Source organism: Homo sapiens, chromosome 2, assembly GCF_000001405.40.
Source record: "Homo sapiens chromosome 2, GRCh38.p14 Primary Assembly".
Lineage (NCBI taxonomy): Eukaryota > Metazoa > Chordata > Mammalia > Primates > Hominidae > Homo > Homo sapiens.
Genome location: NC_000002.12, coordinates 155,468,664 through 155,489,621, shown reverse-complemented (window position 1 = coordinate 155,489,621; position 20,958 = coordinate 155,468,664). Strand labels below are relative to the sequence as shown.

At 34.8% G+C, this 20,958-nt stretch overlaps 1 long non-coding RNA gene across 2 annotated transcripts, besides 2 other annotated features; it reads right to left on the bottom strand.

The window, feature by feature from the left end:
- Positions 1-275: 275 nt before the first annotated feature.
- LOC105373700 (uncharacterized) lies at positions 276-16,380 on the bottom strand. Of its 2 annotated transcripts, XR_923497.3 has the most exons (3): positions 16,225-16,372; positions 15,760-15,915; positions 276-525 (listed from the first exon to the last, which is right to left on the bottom strand). It is a non-coding gene; the product is annotated as an uncharacterized LOC105373700 (long non-coding RNA). The 2 variants fall into 2 exon arrangements; XR_923498.3 differs by lacking the exon at positions 15,760-15,915 and having other exon boundaries at positions 16,225-16,380.
- Positions 16,850-17,349: an enhancer, noted in NCBI's record as "H3K4me1 hESC enhancer chr2:156328785-156329284 (GRCh37/hg19 assembly coordinates)". NCBI's record gives its function as "activates a minimal SCP1, AML or CMV promoter by ChIP-STARR-seq in naive H9 embryonic stem cells {active_cell/tissue: H9 hESC(naive)}" and the evidence as "EXISTENCE:reporter gene assay evidence [ECO:0000049][PMID:30033119]".
- Positions 17,350-17,851: an enhancer, noted in NCBI's record as "H3K4me1 hESC enhancer chr2:156328283-156328784 (GRCh37/hg19 assembly coordinates)". NCBI's record gives its function as "activates a minimal SCP1, AML or CMV promoter by ChIP-STARR-seq in naive H9 embryonic stem cells {active_cell/tissue: H9 hESC(naive)}" and the evidence as "EXISTENCE:reporter gene assay evidence [ECO:0000049][PMID:30033119]".

Genomic DNA, 20,958 nt, shown 5'->3' with positions numbered 1-20,958 from the left:
AATATATTAGTATTTAGGAAATTAAAACCCTTTTGTCTAATGATGGTAAAATAATTGAACAAGGTTATATAGCTTGTCACTGACAGAACTGAGTAAGAACCACAATACGAAGAGAGAAGAGAAATAAGGCACAGAGGAGAATACAGTTTCCAATCTAGTTTCCAGTGCTATAGTTAGAATTGTGTTCAGTTACAGCTGAGTAAAAATAAAACTGCATGGTAAAGCAATGACAATGTCCAAATATTTAGAAAACAGCCATAGATTAGAGATTCTTATCAAATACTTAAACCCATCTGATTAGTACTTTTATTCTTGAAAACAAAATTTGAACAGATATAAATACAGTATTTACATTTTCCTGGAAATCTCCATTGCATGGCTGCTGAAGAGAGTCAGCAATTACCCAGGGACCAATTAGCTTGTTTGTGGATTATCTACACCCTGTGGCTTCTTCTTTTTTGCTTTCCTCCTCATTTCTGCCTTTTGACCACTTCACAGTTGTTAGAAGAAGAAATTAAAGAAGTGCTAAAAAGTAGAAAACCAGAAAAAGTGAAATTAAGACTGTAAATTATTATACATGAAACAAAATTATGTTAATAGTTGGCTGAATTTTTAAAACAAAATGCCAGACATTTGAGCCAAAGGGTAATTAATTTATTACAAAAATTTTTCAAATTTGTTATCTTAATCACTCAATTGTTTCTTTTTGAAAGCTCAAAGCTTGTCCAGTAAGATGATACAGCAATAATTATTAAAATCAACCTCCTGGGGAATTATTGAATATTTCATTACTTTATGATGTCTTACATAGTCACAATTTGCGAAAGCTTATCAGAAAAACATTAATAGGATTCTATGACCATTTAGTCTGAATATTTCTAAATGTCAGTCTAGAATATTTCTGTGCGTTTATTCACTGACAGTTTCCACTGATTTGCTCCTATTCATAGAGAAGTTCCCAATGCAATTGGAAAAATCCATCTTCAACTACTAACATGCACTTTTCTATTTATGTACAGTTGGAAAGGGCCCTAAAAATCAATTTGTATCATTTTCCATTGGGGAGTTGATTCTTCATACTTGAATTTCCTTTTGGCAGAGGGGAATTTACTTGAGCACATGTTAAACATTTTTTGTCCACATTTCGTGTCCTCTGTCATTTTGGGCCAACTCAATGTTGGCAATCTCTGTGGAGTTTTCTCTTTACCCAGGAGGACTGCACTCAGGGTTTCATGAACGCGATGCAGAATTACCCCTCTCAGCTGTCCTGGGACTATTTCTTTTTCTTCTAAGAATACAATTCTATTTCTGACATATAATGATTTTCCTCTGTACTTGCCTATAGACCCAATGTCTAATAGTTTCTTATTCTTTAATTTTTCTATTACATACCTTATTTGCAGTAAATAACCCAAAATCACGAGGTAAATGGTTATTCAAACTATTGTTTTATCTCAGACTATTTAATAAAAACTTTAGCTTTTCCATTTTTACTTTCTTAGCATCATTTTTCTAGTGTCTCTGACATTTCTGCCCAAATACGAAAAGGGAATTCCTGAATCAAATTGCAAATGTATTCTAATGTATTCTGTGCACTCAATTGTATCTCAAAATCATCCAAGGAAAGGAAAACATCAGATTTCCATGCTGAGTCAGGAAACAAGAGAGTGTTTCAATCTTGGAACCATGAAATTTTGATAAGAAATATGATTGTAATTTTTCTGCATCTTTTATGAATTTGGTAAAATTTTACTTAACCTCCTTTATGCATCCTATTCAAAATAGTATTTATGCAATACTCTCACCTATTTCCTTTACTTTTAGGAAATGTCAAGGATCCATATTTTTAAATTTTTACTGTTAATGTATGGAATTCTTAAGCAAAATAGGAAAAGATCAAGTGAAAGCTGTACTTTGATGCCATTCTTTCTACATGTGGTTTTTCTTAATTTTTCATTCTGCACACTTGAATTGAGCATACAAATCACTTTTCTAGAAATAAAAGTCAAATAATTTGTTATGTGTTTAAAATGGTTCACAGCTTACAATATACTGCCAAATGTACTACATCACCTCCCAAATCCCGGTAATCCTGTGAAGAATATAGTCTGGTTATTATTATTACCTCTCATTTTACTGATTGAAAAAATGAAGCAGAAAACGAGTAACTTGTTCTGGAAGCACAATTCACGCCCCAATTTTGAACATGATTCTTACATGTTTCACTAAGCTGCCTGTGAAAATAAATGAACTAATAACAACTTTATTTGCATACAGTTTTAAAATGTATACAGGAATTTCATATGTATTCCTTTTCTTATTTTGGCAGAGTGTAGAAAAAAGAAACATTTTCTTTCTATTACATCAAGATTCATGTTTCAATCTTTGGTTACAGACTGATGGAATATGAAATAAGAAAAATGGAATAAGGAGGAGAAAAATGTTTAAGAGAATGAATGACAATTTTTTCTATGATATTTTAATTTTTCTTTTTAAAGCAATGTGAAAATACTTAAAGGAAGATATAAATTTTTAAAGGATGTTACAATTTTGTGTGCTTCTTATTTTAATATGTTGATTTTCGGATGTTACAATTTTGTGTGCTTCTTATTTTAATATGTTGATTTTCAATTGCTACCACATGTAATAAATATTTCCTGTATTTCAAACATATGAAATGTCAAATGAAAATATTTTACATTTTTATAAGATTATCAGTGGGTAATTATATATTTGAGAGAGAGGGGAGATGTAGAGGAATATGCATATACATTTATAAAAGTATTGCAGAACCATTAAAAAGTCTGCTTTCTGTAATACAGTTATAAAATGTGCATGAGAAAACAGCATTAGGGTCAGCTAAAAAAACCCATGCAGCATTATAGAAAAATCAAATTCAAAATATATTGCTTTGCTTATTAGGCTGCAATCATTTTAACCATATACTTAAAAATAAAGAGAAATGTATTTTTTAGGATAAGATTTAGCAGGCAGGATACTACATCTGACATAGAGATTATTGACGGCAATGGTAACATTCAAAACAGCAAAAAGTTAAAACACTCTGCTGAAATACCAAAAATAGTGGAGAGGAAGTGGAAAATTATTTGAAATGTTAGAGACGTTTCATTCCAGTACCTTGGCCTCATTATATTATCAGCTAAATATAAAATACATAGACCAGATAAATGTCTCATTAAGTCTTTCACAGTTCTTTCTGGGAAGTTGGTAGTGGTCTTGAAAATGAAAAATAGAGAAATATTTTATATGAAAATTATGGCATAAAATGTATTTCAGTGAATGTTTTTATTAACTCACTGTGTGTGGTAAGGCATGGTGGTAGAGTTATCATTTTATCAATTGCTCTTAAGACAAAGATGTATTCCATATAGCAACCTTTAACACTGAACAAAATATCTGTTGCATTTCACGTTTAGTTAGATTGTCAACTGCTCAGATGTAGTCTATATTATATGCTTTCTACCTCCATGTTATGAGAAGGCTTTTTTCTTACAATAGCATTTCTGAGCTAATAGAAGCATATTAAACTATGCATATTATCCCATTTAATTTGACATTTATTTCTACATACACACACTCAAATATTAACATACAAAAAACAGGAGTATATTTCATGTTCAGATTTACTTATTTATGGTTTTCACCTGAGATTCATGTGAACACAACACAAGAGGGTTACAGACAGGAAAATAGCATTATTTTTCAAGGTAAAAATAACTTTCTTCATCAATTAATTCATGTAATCTGAATTATTGCATCTAATTAGCACACTCATTCTCTTTCTATAACAAAACAGAGAAAAATTATTTACAATGAATTACTGCTGTATTTCGCATTCTGGCAAAGTTCCCATTGCTTTCAGATATACTTAATGACAAGGTGAATAAGATGACACCACTTTTTCTTTCAAAAACGTAGTCATGCTGAAAATATCTATGTAGAAGACAAGTCACAACACATAGAAAATATCACAAAGGATGCTTGTTAACAATAGAAAAAATGAATGGAGAGGGGACAGAAAGGTGTCAGATGAGAGGTGCTCATAATACCTGCAAAATAAACACCAGCTTCAGTTTCAGAGACAAGTGAGTCTCAGATTGACAGATGGTGGATGATTGCTTCTGGTGGAGCGAATGATGGTTAGTTTGCAAGTAAAAGCAGATAAAGGAGCACATGAATAACAGTCAAATCTTTGGTATGTGGGTAAGGCTTAAATTATAAATGGCTTAAATTATAAATGGTTCATGATTGACTGGCCACAAGTAATTTATTAAGAATGCACATATGGTGAAGAAAGGCAGTAGTGTTCTAACAAATGAATGCAGCTGACCATAAAAAATCCTATATTAAATGGAAAGGAATATTTGGAAAACAATGAACTTGAAGGAGACCTAAAGGCAGATGAAATATAAATTAAGCCAGCACTTGTGACAAAAGCAACAAAAACATGCTTGGAATATGGGCATGTTAGGGTTAAACTTTGGTTGATCCAAAGACTAAGTTTCATTTCTAAATTCAATTTGTAAAATTCAAGGACAAAATATTGTAAAAGTGCTATCAGACAAATAACTACTTGTGGTCTTGGCCTTTAATAGTATGGAATCAAGCACTCTTCACAGAGAACATGGTTGTCATTCACAATGAGATCAAACCAAACATTAGAGATTCACCCAAAAATTTTCCCTTCAAAATGACCTGGTCATGTCTCTACGAGATGTTTTACAAGTTAGTTTATCCTTCTGTCTCTTGAAGGGACTATGCATATAGAACCTGGTACCATCTTGAATACAATACAGGAAGTTGGCTCCTAAACTAGTTCTTATTTTTAAATCAATGCATGTGTCCATTTTTTTTAATTCAGGTAGAATAAACAAGGCTATAGCAATAGTTGAATGATTATAAATCATAAAATGCTAACTCTGAAATAACTCCTAGAAGTCATTTGCTCTACGCTCCTCTTTCATTTTCATTTTTCATATGGAGAAAGTGAGGTCCAAACTGTGTAGCTGAATTTATCAAGGCACAACTAATTATTTAGTGCCTTAGCTAAGATTAGAAATCAAGAATCCTGATTCCCAGTGGAGTCACCAAAGAGTTAGAAATAATGACTCAACCAATCATAATAGTTATTTATGGAAAAGTGTGGTTGTTTTCCTTTTTATAAAGAAATGTAATGTCATTCTGAAAAAAAAAAAAGCAAAGATAGTTAAATGTAAGAAAATTGGATTCAACTTTAAATAAAAGCTTATTCTCCAGTTCTCCTCTGTAATCGTTTACTATGGATTCTGAATTGGGGAAATTCCTGATCTACTTTAACTTCTAAACTTCTTAAAAATTACTTTCAAATATCCAAGTTTATCATTTAATTCAACTGTTGACAGACTTTACTGTATAGGATTACATATTTAAATAACAATTTGAATTTGTATGACACATTTTAACACCTACTTTGATTTACAGGTTCTCTTATATTCTCTCTATGCTAGCAAATAGCAAAGCGTGCATGGATAATTCATCTTAGTCTGATTACTATCAAGAAACAGAGAGGTGTCAATTCCATACAGTTTTTATTCAGACAGGAAGAGATAAAAATGAATTTCCAACATAAAGTGGTAGAGACTCTTTTCCCATTGTATTCTGCTCAAGGTATTGTCTCCAAAATAAGTTGAGAACCATGGTGTAGAGAAAAGAGACTTCAAGAACACGGTGACTGAGCACAAGAGAAAAAAAAAGACTGCAACTTGCTCCCAGGGACTGGAGAAAATTTTAAAAAAGAAAGGTTGGAATCCATCAGTGTTCTATTAGTCATCTTCTCTTTCATCCTCCTCTCCTTCCTCCCCTTCATAATCATCTTCATCTTCTTCACCTTCATCCTCATCCCCTTCATCAATATCTTCTAATCCTTCCTCCTCTTCATCATCATTATCTTCTTCTCCTTCTCCTTCTTCATTATCCATATTGGCAATCAAGAAGTGCCATAATGGGTTTGGCCAAATAGCATCGAGCTCTGTGGGAAAAAGAAAAGCCTGCTCCCTTATCTCTGCTGGAAGCTGGAGGGTGCTAGGCCCCTGTGTAGCAGTGCATAGAGTTCCAGCTTTTTTCCTCCTTTCTCTGTATATTGGGCTCAGAGAGTACATTGTGTCTCTATGTGAATATGGACAGTTAGCATTTACCAACATGTATCTGACAACTTTCTCTTGTTTAAAAAAAGAAAAAAAAAACTTGAAAAATGGGGTTACAGAAGGTCAGCAAAGGCTGGGTTTGAGATGTTAGGGTGAGTTAAGTGGGTATTTTGACAACATGGCTTCTCCTTTGGTGTGTTTAATTGTGATATTTGACAGATTAAGATGACACTTTTAAAACAAATTCTCTCCTAATGATGACTTGAGCCCTGCCACTCAATGGGATTATCAGCAGAACCTGTAGAATCTTATTTGGAATTGACACTCTCTATTGTAATTTTGTTTCTGTTTATTTTTAATTTTTTTTTTGTTTCACTGAAAAGGAAAGATGATGCTCAGTTGTTAAAAGTGTACAAGTTGCTTTGTTACAATAAAACGAAATATGTACAAAAAAAAAGAAACAGAGAGGTGAAGTGAATGGCTCCAGGTTACACAGCAAGCCAGTAGCAATTTTATAAATGTCTTATTTGAATACAAAAATATTTAGAAAATAGAATAATTATTTAGGATCATCAATAGTGGTAACACGTCATGTCGACATAAGAAAAACATTTAAAATCTCACAGGATATTTCCTCATGGCAAGAACTGGCATAGCAAATATTTTCCTAATGTTAATTTTTATATTATTTAAACTTGCATATGAAAAAAACAGAAGAAATTCAATTCTATTTAATAAAAATGTTGAATACTCAGTATTTGCTCTTTTGATAAGACAGCATGTATTTTCATTTAATAAAATAAAATTAATTATTTTCCTTTTTAATTTTTATGAAACAGTGAAGTCAAACACCAAAGGATTTTATTAAAATTAAAATAACATTGTTTAGATAGTACATAATATAAACAAACAATATTCCAAAACTCTTGTTTGTATGATGAAAAACACAAGAAATGTAGTAGATATTTTTGTTTGTTTTGGTTATAAAATCCAAACAGCAAATAGACAAAAAAATTACTTTATTTTTTAAACCACATTCAGAATTTATTACAGAAAGGAGATCTTTAGAACTTATTACAGAAAGGAGACCTTCAGCACTGCACTTACTTGAAAAAGGAAGAATTTGAGTTTAAGAAATAGGGCTTTTTTTTGTGAAACATCTTCTACAGAATAGATATTTTTACCAGTGAAAGTATATGTTAAATTTTTTGAGTCAGATAGCAAGCAACATTCCTTACACATATGTACTGTTAACACATTAAACCATGTTATTCATTATTTTTATCAACTGCTTCCACCACTTTTCAGCTTTCAACATTTTTAAACTATATAAAAATTCATTTCAAAGAAGCAGATAATTCCTTGAAAATTCAGACACCTTTTCTCTCCTTGTTACTGATTGTGTTATTTACTAAGTGTGTTAATCCAACAATGTTAATTCAGCTTCACTAATTGCCTGATATTTAAATATTGGATACTTATCATATTTATTTCACTTAGATTAATGCCGTTAGTATATATTCAATCAAGATGAATTTTGTGGTTTCTAGCATTCTATATGAAAATTGCCTATTTGGGCCATGTCTAGCCACAATTCCTCCTACAAAGTAACAATATTATCAAAAAATGAATTTATAGAAATGACAGAGAATATAATCAATTTTTCAGCTGTCCACTGCAACAATGTAAAATATAGGCATTGAACTAAACAGAAAGAGATAATCTATGTGTTGGTAAGAGATCTTGGCAGTTTATTGGAAACTACTTAGATACCCATTATTCTTTTCCTCTCCATGTTAGAAAAAAAAGGAAATTACAGTTGAATACAGCATAAGACATTCCAAAACAAAATCAAGCAATGAGGACACAACTTTCTTTGAGTTACAATAATTTTCCTCAAATAATATGTGTGCATGAATATTGAAATATTCCCTTAAGCTAAAAAATAATGTAGATGGATCAGTTGGTTACTTGGGAAGAGATGAATGTAGATAGGAAATAACTCATTTTTCCTATGTTTGAGCAAATATATAAAGAATAAAAGCAAGTAATTTCAAGAAATTATTTTCCATTTGAAAGAAAATGTTTGTTATTTTAAACTTGGTAAATGCATAAAAATCAAGAGAAGAAATAAATGATGCAATACCTTAGCCCAAATACATTTACTATCAAATATTTTGTGCCATTTCATTACAGTTTTAAATTTAATGAGGTGATTTTTACATAGTGACAATCATACTGAACATACAATTGTGTTTCTACTCATTCATTAATTGTTTAAAATTATAATATCAAAAAATTCTGTTTTAATATTGGCATATTCATATATTTTGGGGTTTACTATAATTTACATAATCATTTCCATATAGCTAGCCAATTTTTTTTGTATTGTGTTTTTCTCTGTTATAAAAACTGAAACAATAAAAATGTGCCAAAAAATGGTTTTGCTTTTAAAAATTCTCAGTATATATTGCTAAACTGCTTTTTCAAAATTCTGATCCATGTCTGACTCTGGAGAGGCATCATAGCATGTGCTTAGGAGCAGGGTATCCAAAGCCAGGCTTTAAAAGCTCTGGTACTAACTTCCTGCAGGACATTGAGAAAACCACTTAACCTCTCACTGTGACTCAGTTTCTTCATCTCCAAAGTTAGATATTAATAGTATGTTGCTCATAGCATTGCTGTAGTATTAAAAGAGTTAATATATGTAAATGTATACATATGTAACACTTAATTGCTTATAATATATATGTAAATCCTTAGAATAGTTCATAGTAGTATGAACTTTGACTGTAAAAAAATATATTCATGTAGACCATACTGATAGAAAATTTGTTGTTCTAAACAATGTCATATTTTCCAAGATTGATCCTTTTCTAGTTAACCAAAGCTTGGTAGATAAAATATCAACCATAGTGAACACAATTTATAGCCCTTTGGGTAGATTTCCAATGAAATATCCTTGTCAGCTATCTATGGACTTTTATTTGAGAGAAATTTTACTCACAGACATTTTCCAGCAGTTCCTTTCTTGTTGACAGTGGGTACAGTTTTTTATATTAGGGAATTCATTAGATGCAAGGTGAATATGGCATCTATCAGCACACTGGTGCATGGCCTGAACATCTGCATCCCTGCTGTAGAGATTTGACCAATTCTGCCTTAGCATTCAATTTGATTTCTGAGGTGGCAACTGACATTTTTATTGGCATCTCCATAACACATCTAAATTATTACTCTAAGTCTTCCAGAGATTTCCATAAATGAGTGTTTCCTATGAGGGTATGTTTTTTAAAAGACTCATTTACCTGAACATACTGTAACGAGGCCATTGATTATATAGCTCAAGAGCCTACAAATATAAAAACATTCCCCTTAAGACATAAGCCTAAATTCTCTTCTCCTGCTAAGTGGATCTCAATTCTGTCCACTGTGCAGATTTGTGGGTGGCTTCTTCCACTGAGATTTTACCTACTGTAAGGTACAGTGTGACTGATTTCTTTTTTTTTAAGCAAATCAACGTGTATTTTATTTATTTATTTATATTATACTTTAAGTTTTAGGGTACATGTGCACAATGTGCAGGTTTGTTACATATGTATACATGTGCCATATTGGTGTGCTGCACCCATTAACTCGTCATTTACATGAGGTATATCTCCTAATGCTATCCCTCCCCTCCCCTCCACCCCACAACAGGTCCCGGTGTGTGATGTTCCCCTTCCTATGTCCAAGTGTTCTCATTGTTCAATTCCCACCTATGAGTGAGAACATGTGGTGTTTGGTTTTTAGTCCTTGCAATAGTTTGCTGAGAATGATGGTTTCCAGTTTCATCCATGCCCCTACAAAAGACATGAACTCATCCTTTTTTATGGCTGCATAGTATTCCATGGTGTATATGTGCCACATTTTCTTAATCCAGTCTATCATTGTTGGACATTTGGGTTGGTTCCAAGTCTTTGCTATTGTGAATAGTGCCTCAGTAAACATACATGTGCATGTGTCTTTATAGCAACATGATTTATAATCCTTTGGGTATATACCCAGTTAATGGGATGGCTGGGTCAAATGGTATTTCTGGTTCTAGATCCCTGAGGAATCGCCACACTGACTTCCACAATGGTTGAACTAGTTTACAGTCCCACCAACAGTGTAAAAGTGTTCCTATTGCTCCACATCCTCCCCAGAACCTGTTTCCTGATTTTTTAATGATTGCCATTCTAACTGGTGTGAGATGGTATCTCATTGTGGTTTTGATTTGCATTTCTCTGATGGCCAGTGATGATGAGCATTTTTTCATGTGTCTTTTGGCTACATAAATGTCTTCTTCTGAGAAGTGTTTGTTTATATCCTTCACCCACTTGTTCATGGGGTTGTTTGTTTTTTTCTTGTAAATTTGTTTGGGTTCATTGTAGATTCTGGATATTAGCCCTTTGTCGGATGAGTAGATTGCAAACATTTTCTCCCATTCTGTAGTTTGCCTGTTCACTCTGATGGAAGTTTCTTTTGCTGTGCAGAATCTCTTTAGTTTAATTAGATCCTATTTGTCAATTTTGGCTTTTGTTGCCCTTGCTTTTGGTGTTTTGGACATGAAGTCCTTGCCCATGCCTATGTCCTGAATGGTATTGCCTAGGTTTTCTTCTAGGGTTTTTATGATTTTAGGTCTAACATTTAAGTCTTTAATCCATCTTGAATTGATTTTTGTATAAGGTGTAATGAAGGGATCCAGTTTCAGCTTTCTACATATGGCTAGCCAGTTTTCCCAGCACCATTTATTAAATAGGGAATCCTTTCCCCATTGCTTGTTTTTCTCAGGTTTGTCAAAGATCAGATAGTTGTAGATATGTGGCATTATTTCTGAGGGCTCTGTTCTGTTCCATTGGTCTATATCTCTGTTTTGGTACCAGTACCATGTTGTTTTGGTTACCACAGCCTTGTAGTATAGTTTGAAGTCAGGTAGCGTGATGCCTCCAGCTTTGTTCTTTTGGCTTAGGATTGACTTGGCAATGCGGGCTCTTTTTTGTTCCATATGAACTTTAAAGTAGTTTTTTCCAATTCTGTGAAGAAAGTCATTGGTATCTTGATGGGTATGGCATTGAATCTATAAATTACCTTGGGCAGTACGGCCATTTTCACAATATTGATTCTTCCTACCAATGAGCAAGGAAGGTTCTTCCATTTGTTTGTATCCTCTTTTATTTCGTTGAGCAGTGGTTTGTACTTCTCCTTGAAGTTGGATTCTCCTTGTAAGTTGGATTCCTAGGTATTTTATTCTCTTTGAAGCAATTGTGAATGGGAGTTCACTCATGATTTGGCTCTCTGTTTGTCTGTTATTGGTGTATAAGAATGCTTGTGATTTTTGCACATTGATTTTGTATCTTGAGACTTTGCTGAAGTTGTTTATCAGCTTAAGGAGATTTTGGGCTAAGACAATGGGGTTTTCTATATATACAATCATGTCGTCTGCAAACAGGGACAATTTGACTTCCTCTTTTCCTAATTGAATACCCTTTATTTCTTTCTCCTGCCTGATTGCCCTAGCCAGAACTTCCAACACTATATTAAACAGGAGTGGTAAGAGAGGGCATCCCTGTTGTGTGCCAGTTTTCAAAGGGAATGCTTCCAGTTTTTGCCCATTCAGTATGATATTGACTGTGTGTTTGTCATAGATAGCTCTTATTATTTTGAGATACGTCCCATCAATACCTAATTTATTGAGAGTTTTTAGCATGAAGTGATGTTGAATTTTGTCAAAGGCCTTTTCTGCATCTATTGAGATAATCATGTGGTTTTTGTCTTTGGTTCTGTTTATATGCTGGATTACGTTTACTGATTTGCATATGTTGAACCAGACTTGCATCCCAGTGATGAAGCCCACTTGATCATGGTGGATAAGCTTTTTGATGTGCTGCTGGATTCACTTTTCCAGTATTTTATTGAGGATTTTTGCATCAATGTTCATCAAGGATATTGGTTTAAAATTCTCTTTTTTGGTTGTGTCTCTGCCAGGCTTTGGTATCAGGATGATGCTGGCCTCATAAAATGAGTTAGGGAGGATTCATTCTTTTTCTATTGATTGGAATAGTTTCAGAAGGAATGGTACCAGTCCCTCCTTGTACCTCTGGTAGAATTCGTCTGTGAATCTGTCTGGTCCTGGACTGTTTTTGGTTGGAAGCTATTAATTATTGCCTCAATTTCAGAGCCTGTTATTGGTCTATTCAGACATGTAACTTCTTCCTGGTTTAGTCTTGGGAGGGTGTATGTGTCGAGGAATTTATCCATTTCTTCTAGATTTTCTAGTTTATTTGTGTAGAGGTGTTTATAGTATTCTCTGATGGTAGTTTGTATTTCTATGGGATTGGCGGTGATATCTCCTTTATCACTTTTTATTGCATCTATTTGATTCTTCTCTCTTTTCTTCTTTATTAGTCTTATTAGCAGTCTATCAATTTTGTTGATCTTTTCAAAAAACCAGCTCCTGGATTCCTTGATGTTTTGAAGGGTTTTTTTTGTGTGTCTCTATTTCCTTCAGTTCTGCTCTGATCTTAGTTATTGCTTGCCTTCTGCTAGCTTTTGAATGTGTTTGCTCTTGCTTCTCTAGTTCTTTTAATTGTGATGTTAAAGAGTCAATTTTAGATCTTTCCTACTTTCTCTTGTGGGCATTTAGTGCTATAAATTTCCCTCTACACACTGATTTCTAAATAGCAACCTGTCCCCTCATTGTAGGATGGCCTTACTTGATTTCTGGCAAGTGCTCCATTCCTCTTACTTTCTAGTTTTAAACATTTCGAACACCACCTGCTCAGCTGGGCCATAAAATGGCTGGAATAACCTGTATCACCACTCTTAATATGTCATTTAATGTTTGGTTTTCTCAGAGTTTTATTCAAATTGTGACATTATTCTCATGACTTTATGAAGAGGAGCCAAAGAACTCATGGATGAGGAGAGTAATTTTACAAAAGTCTGAATGGCACTGCTAGTCCCTGAGCTTCTTTCTTCACACATGCTCAGTGAGAGATAATTATTACTCACATTGTGAGGAAAATCCCTGGTTACTATTGCCACATAATTCTCAGAAATCTCACAAAACAATTTGCCTTGAATTTTACCTGGATCTATCGGACAAAGACTATTTGTTATATGGATGACTACAGTCCTTAACTCTCTTGAGTTTTCTCTTTTGAAGAGGGAAATTATCATATTATCAATATAGGGAACTAACCTGCTCTTTGTGGTTATCAAGCCCTAGTACCTCTGGTAAGATTATGACAATATGGTGGCAAATTTAAATATTCTTGTGGCTAAACAATCACTGTATAGTGAATTCCACTTCATGAGAATGTAAATTGTGCTTGGATGAACTTCAGAACTGGTACTATAAAGAAATTATTAGCCACATCTATATTAGCTCACCAATCCTGCTTGGTCTATTTCACTTCCTATATAGTATTTAAAATGTTACATAGGTATATAAGTACACATCAGGTACTACTAAAATTTTCAGAGAAACCACCTCTTTAATCCTTGTCAGTCTACTCTTGATCTCTCGGAACTGCCTTCTATACCAGCCAGATGAGGTATCTTAAAAGGTGAAAATGTAGTAGTGAGAATTAAACTCCCACTTCACCCATTTTCTTAATCAGAACATAGATCTCATGCCATCGCCTGGAATTCAGTTGCTGAATTTTACTACCTAGAAGGGCATGGATAATTACAAAAGTTCTTACTTAGCATGGCTAATTATAACTGGGCAAAGGGCACCTTCTCACTCTGTTGATTGTTTCCTTTGCTGTGCAGAATATTTTTAATTTGACATAGTCCCCATTTGTCTATTTTTGGTTTTGTTGCCTGTGTTTTTAGTGTCATATTCATGAAATCATTGCCAAGACCGATGCCATGAAACTTTTCCCTTAATGTTTTTTCTACAGGTTTCACAGTTTCAGGTCTTAACATTTAAGTCTTTAATACATTTTGAGTTTATTTTTGCAAACTACAGAATAGGAGAATATATTTGTAAACCATATGTAATAAAAGGTTAATTCTCAAAATATATAAACCATATATAATAAAAGGTTAATTCTCTTTTTTTATTTTACCCGACTTTAAGTGTATAATACAGTATTATTAACTATAGGCACAATGTTGTTTAGTGAATCTTTAGTGCTTAATCATCCTTCATAACTAAAATTTTATATCTATTGATTAGTAACTCCCACTTTCTCTCAACCCCAAGTCTTTGGCAACCACCATTCTACATATAACCCCATTAAAAAATGAGCAAAGGACACGAACAGACAATTCTCAATAAAAGACATACATGTGATCAATAAGCATATGGAAAATGCTTACCATCATTAAACATTAGAAAAATGCAAATCAAAACCACAATAAGACACCCTCTCACACCAGTCAGAATGACTAGTATTAAAAAGATAAAAAATAACAGATGTTGGTGAGGTTACAGAGAAAAAGGAACAGTTATGCGCTGCTGGTGGGAATGTAAATTATTTCAGCCACTGTGGAAAGCAGTTCGGAGATTTCTCAAATGACTTAAAACATAACTACCATTCAACCCAATTCCATTACTGAGCATATACCTAAAGGAATACAAATCATTCTGTCATAAAGATACATGCATACATGTATTTGTCACAGCCCTATTCACAATAACAAAGAAGTGCTATCCTCATAAGTGCCCATTGATGGTGGACTGGATAAAGAAAATGTGGTCTACAGACAACATGGAATAATATGCTAGCACAGAAAGATCAAAATAATGTCCTTTGCAGCAATATAAATGGATTGGAGGCCATTATCCTAAACAAATTAAGACAGAAACAGAAAAACAAGTGGACAGAAAGAAGGGAACAATAAACACCACGGCCTACTTGAGAATGGAGGTGAGAGGAGGGTAAAGATCAAAAAACGATCTATCAGATACTATGCTCAATAGCTGGGTAACAATATAATCTGTACAGTAAACACCCACAATGTACAGTTTACTCACGTAAGTAATCTGCACATGTACTTCCTAAACCTAAAATAAAAGTTGTAAAGGAAGAAAACCACCAATAATCTTGAAAATACATATGTGATCATAAAGATAAAAATTAGATACTAGCATTGCTCATGTAAAAAATGTCTTGAAGTATCATATTTATTATATCATATTTCTTGAAGTATCATTATCATATTAAACACTGAAAATACATGTACTGTATGCATTTACGTAAATATTATTATCGCATAAATTCATTACGCATATATGTTGTCTGTTTTCCTCATAATAAATTTTTCATAGGAAATGTTTCTGAATATATTTAAATTTAAAGGGGCAATCTTGTATTATATTTATTATGAAAATAAGCAAATAAATATAGCTTTGGAATAGATTTGGAAGAAAAGTAAAAGTAGGCCATTGTATAATATTTATTAACATTTTATAGAAAGAAGAAAAGAAAAACATTAAGTCTTTAAATAATTTCCAAATTCCCTCAGAATTAACATGGATGCCTTTTAGAAGAAACAAACTCTTCACTCTAATCTTATTGAATTAGAATTTCAAGAAGTAGAGCTTTAAATTTTTTAAAGTTTTTTTCTTAGTATTTCATACCTCGGTATCTAGAGTATCATCAATCCGTCTGTGTCTGGGTTTCTACATCCTATCTCAAGGATGATGTGTACAACAGCATCCTCTTCTGCAACTTGGGCAACTACTCATATCTACCAAGCTATTTTGCAGCAATCTGTGGTTTCAATTATGCAATACCTGGGTGTTTTTAGAAAAGTAATCAGAACAGGATTGTGATATACAATATATCTTTATTTTAAATCAAATTAAATTTCAAGATTTTTAAGAGCATCACAGCAATATTTTAAATTTCTTAATTGGCATATGTATATAAATTCTGCTGGAAATATGCTTTCTAAGCAAATAAATGCTAAGGAAGGTACATTCCAGGAGTAAGGATGATAATATAAAGAAAATGAATTAAGAGCTATTAGATCTTAAACAATTCTTACTGAATTAACTCATTGTTAAGTTCAAAACATATATACATGAAAAAACAAAAAGTACCTCAGATGGTTTTGCCGTTTATCATCCTCTTTTTATTTTGAATCTCCTTTGTGTAGTTTTAGAGTGAGTATTGGCAGATTAAGGTGCAGAGAATTATTTAGAACTCCTTGTTCAGATATCAAATCTTCCATTTCAGCTAAACAATCCCTTCCTGTTCTGAAAATTTAAAAAAAAAAAGATAATGAAAACCTGCATTTTTCAAGACTAATGTTTAAGGAGAAACCAAATTTCCACTATTAGTTTTCAGAGCATCAAGTGAAGCTTGTAATCTCTTAAAGAAATGTAATTAACAGCTTCAAATTATAAAAAATGATATAATCACTCAAAAATTTTTTTTTATGGTTTGATAGTTTATTATTGTCTTTTTTTACTGTACTTTAAGTTCTAGGGTACATGTGCACAACGTGCAGGTTTGATACATAGGTATACACATGCCATGTTGGTTTGCTGCACGCATCAACTCATCATTTACATTAGGTATTTCTCCTAATGCTATCCCTCCCCAGCCCCGCAACCCACCGACAGGCCCTGGTGTGTGATGTTCCCCACCCTGTGTCCAGGTGTTCTCATTGTTCAATTCCAACTATGAGTGAGAACATTCCGTGTTTGGTTATCTGTCTTTGAATCACTCAAAATTCTTAACATAAGGTCCATTAGTAAAAAGGAATATCATCTTAATCATACCAATAGGACAAGGCCAATCAACTCCTCCTACACATCAATATATAATAAATGATTTAATAATTTGGCAGAGGGGGAGGAGCCAAGATGGCCGAATAGAAACAGCTCCTGTCTACAGCTCCCAGCGTGAGCGATGCAGAAGACGGGTGATTTCTGCATTTCCATCTGAGGTACCGGGTTCATCTCACTAAGGAGTGCCAGACAGTGGGCGCAGGTCAGTGGGTGCGCACACTGTGCACGAGCTGAAGCAGGGCGAGGCATTGCCTCACTCGGGAAGTGCAAGGGGTCAGGGAGTTCCCTTTCCTAGTCAAAGAAAGGGGTGACAGACGGCACCTGGAAAATCGGGTCACTCCCACCCGAATACTGCACTTTTCCGATGGGCTTAAAAAACGGCGCACCAGGAGATTATATCCCGCGCCTGGATAAGACGGTCCTACACCCACGGAGTCTCGCTGATTGCTAGCACAGCAGTCTGAGATCAAAAGGCAAAGCGGCAGCGAGGCTGGGGGAGGGGCGCCTGCCATTGCCCAGGCTTGTTTAGGTAAACAAAGCAGCCAGGAAGCTGGAACTGGGTGGAGCCCACCACAGCTCAAGGAGGCCTGCCTGCCTCTGTAGGCTCCACCTCTGTGGGCAGGGCACAGACAAAAAGACAGCAGTAACCTCTGCAGACTTAAATGTCCCTGTCTGACAGCTTTGAAGAGAGCAGTGGTTCTCCCAGCACACAGCTGGAGATCTGAGAAAGGGCAGACTGCCTCCTCAAGTGGGTTCGTGACCCCTGATCCCCGAGTAGCCTAACTGGGAGGCATCCCCCAGCAGGGGCAGACTGACACCTCACACAGCCGGGTACTCCAACAGACCTGCAGCTGAGGGTGCTGTCTGTTAGAAGGAAAACTAACAAACAGAAAGGACATCCACACCAAAAACCCATCTGTACATCACCATCATCAAAGACCAAAAGTAGATAAAACCACAAAGATGGCGAAAAAACAGAGCAGAAAAACTGGAAACTCTGAAAAGCAGAGCGTCTCTCCTCCTCCAAAGGAATGCAGTTCCTCACCAGCAACAGAACAAAGCTGGACGGAGAATGACTTTGACGAGCTGAGAGAAGAAGCCTTCAGATGATCAAATTACTCCGAGCTACGGGAGGACATTCAAACCAAAGGCAAAGAAGTTGAAAACTTTGAAAAAAATTTAGAAGAATGTATAACTAGAATAACCAACACAGAGAAGTGCTTAAAGGAGCTGATGGAGCTGAAAACCAAGGCTCAAGAACTACATGAAGAATGCAGAAGACTCAGGAGCCGATGCGATCAACTGGAAGACAGGGTATCAGCGATGGAAGATGAAATGAATGAAATGAAGTGAGAAGGGAAGTGTAGAGAAAAAAGAATAAAAAGAAATGAACAAAGCCTCCAAGAAATATGGGACTATGTGAAAAGACCAAATCTACGTCTGATTGGTGTACCTGAAAGTGACGGGGAGAATGGAACCAAGTTGGAAAACACTCTGCAGGATATTATCCAGGAGAACTTCCCCAATCTAGCAAGGCAGGCCAACATTCAGATTCAGGAAATACAGAGAACACCACAAAGATACTCCTCGAGAAGAGCGACTCCAAGACACATAATTGTCAGATTCACCAAAGTTGAAATGAAGGAAAAAATGTTAAGGGCAGCTAGAGAGAAAGGTCGGGTTACCCTCAAAGGGAAGCCCATCAGACTAACAGCAGATCTTTCGGCAGAAACTCTACAAGCCAGAAGAGAGTGGGGGCCAATATTCAACATTCTTAAAGAAAAGAATTTTCAACCCTGAATTTCATATCCAGCCAAACTAAGCTTCATAAGTGAAGGAGAAATAAAATACTTTACAGACAAGCAAATGTTGAGAGATTTTGTCACCACCAGGCCTGCCCTAAAAGAGCTCCTGAAGGAAGCGCTAAACATGAAAAGGAACAACCGGTACCAGCCACTGCAAAATCATGCCAAAATGTAAAGACCATCGATACTAGGAAGAAACTGCATCAACTAACGAGCAAAATAACCAGCTAACATCATAATGACAGGATCAAATTCACACATAACAATATTAACTTTAAATGTAAATGGACTAAATGCTCCAATTAAAAGACACAGACTGGCAAATTGGATAAAGAGTCAAGACCCATCAGTGTGCTGTATTCAGGAAACCCTTCTCACGTGCAGAGACACACATAGGCTCAAAATAAAAGGATGGAGGAAGATCTACCAAGCCAATGGAAAACAAAAAAAGGCAGGGGTTGCAATCCTAGTCTCTGATAAAACAGACTTTAAACCAACAAAGATCAAAAGAGACAAAGAAGGCAATTACATAATGGTAAAGGGATCAATTCAACAAGAAGAGCTAACTATCCTAAATATATATGCACCCAATACAGGAGCACCTAGATTCATAAAGCAAGTCCTGAGTGACCTACAAAGAGACTTAGACTCCCACACATTAATAATGGGAGACTTTAACACCCCACTGTCAACATTAGACAGATCAACGAGACAGAAAATCAACAAGGATACCCAGGAATTGAACTCAGCTCTGCACCAAGCAGACCTAATAGACATCTACAGAACTCTCCACCCCAAATCAACAGAATATACATTTTTTTCAGCACCACACCAAACCTATTACAAAATTGACCACATACTTGGAAGTAAAGCTCTCCTCAGAAAATGTAAAAGAACAGAAATTATAACAAACTATCTCTCAGACCACAGTGCAATCAAACTAGAACTCAGGATTAAGAATCTCATTCAAAACCGCTCAACTACATGGAAACTGAACAACCTGCTCCTGAATGACTACTGGGTACATAACGATATGAAGGCAGAAACAAAGATGTTCTTTGAAACCAACGAGAACAAAGACACAACATACCAGAATCTCTGGGACGCATTCAAAGCAGTGTGTAGAGGGAAACTTATAGCACTAAATGCCCACAAGAGAAAGTAGGAAAGATCCAAAATTGACACCCTAACATCACAATTAAAAGAACTAGAAAAGCAAGAGTAAACACATTCAAAAGCTAGCAGAAGGCAAGAAATAACTAAAATCAGAGCAGAATTGAAGGAAATAGAGACACAAAAAACCATTCAAAAATTAATGAATCCAGGAGCTGTTTTTTTGAAAGGATCAACAAAATTGATAGACCGCTAGCAAGACTAATAAAGAAAAAAAGAGAGAAGAATCAAATAGATGCAATAAAAATGACAAAGGGGATATCACCACTGATCCCACAGAAATACAAACTACCATCAGAGAATACTACAAACACCTCTACACAAATAAACTAGAAAATCTAGAAGAAATGGATAAATTCCTCGACACATACACTCTCCCAAGACTAAACCAGGAAGAAGTTGAATCTCTGAATAGACCAATAACAGGCTCTGAAATTGTGGCAATAATCAATAGCTTACCAACCAAAAAGAGTCCAGGACCAGATGGATTCACAGCCGAATTCTACCAGAGGTACAAGGAGGAACTGGTACCATTCCTTCTGAAACTATTCCAATCAATAGAAAAAGAGGGAATCCTCCCTAACTCATTTTATGAGGCCAGCATCATCCTGATACCAAAACCTGGCAGAGACACAACAAAAAAAGAGAATTTTAGACCAATATCCTTGATGAACATTGATGCAAAAATCCTCAATAAAATACTGGCAAACTGACTCCAGCAGCACATCAAAAAGCTTATCCACCATGATCAAGTGGGCTTCATCCCTGAGATGCAAGGCTGCTTCAATATACGCAAATCAATAAATGTAATCCAGCATATAAACAGAACCAAAGACAAAAACCACATGATTATCTCAATAGATGCAGAAAAGTCCTTTGACAAAATTCAACAACCCTTCATGCTAAAAACTCTCAATAAATTAGGTATTGATGGGACGTATTTCAAAATAATAAGAGCTATATATGACAAACCCACAGCCAATATCATACTGAATGGGCAAAAACTGGAAGCATTCCCTTTGAAAACTGGCACAAGACAGGGATGCTCTCTCTCACCACTCCT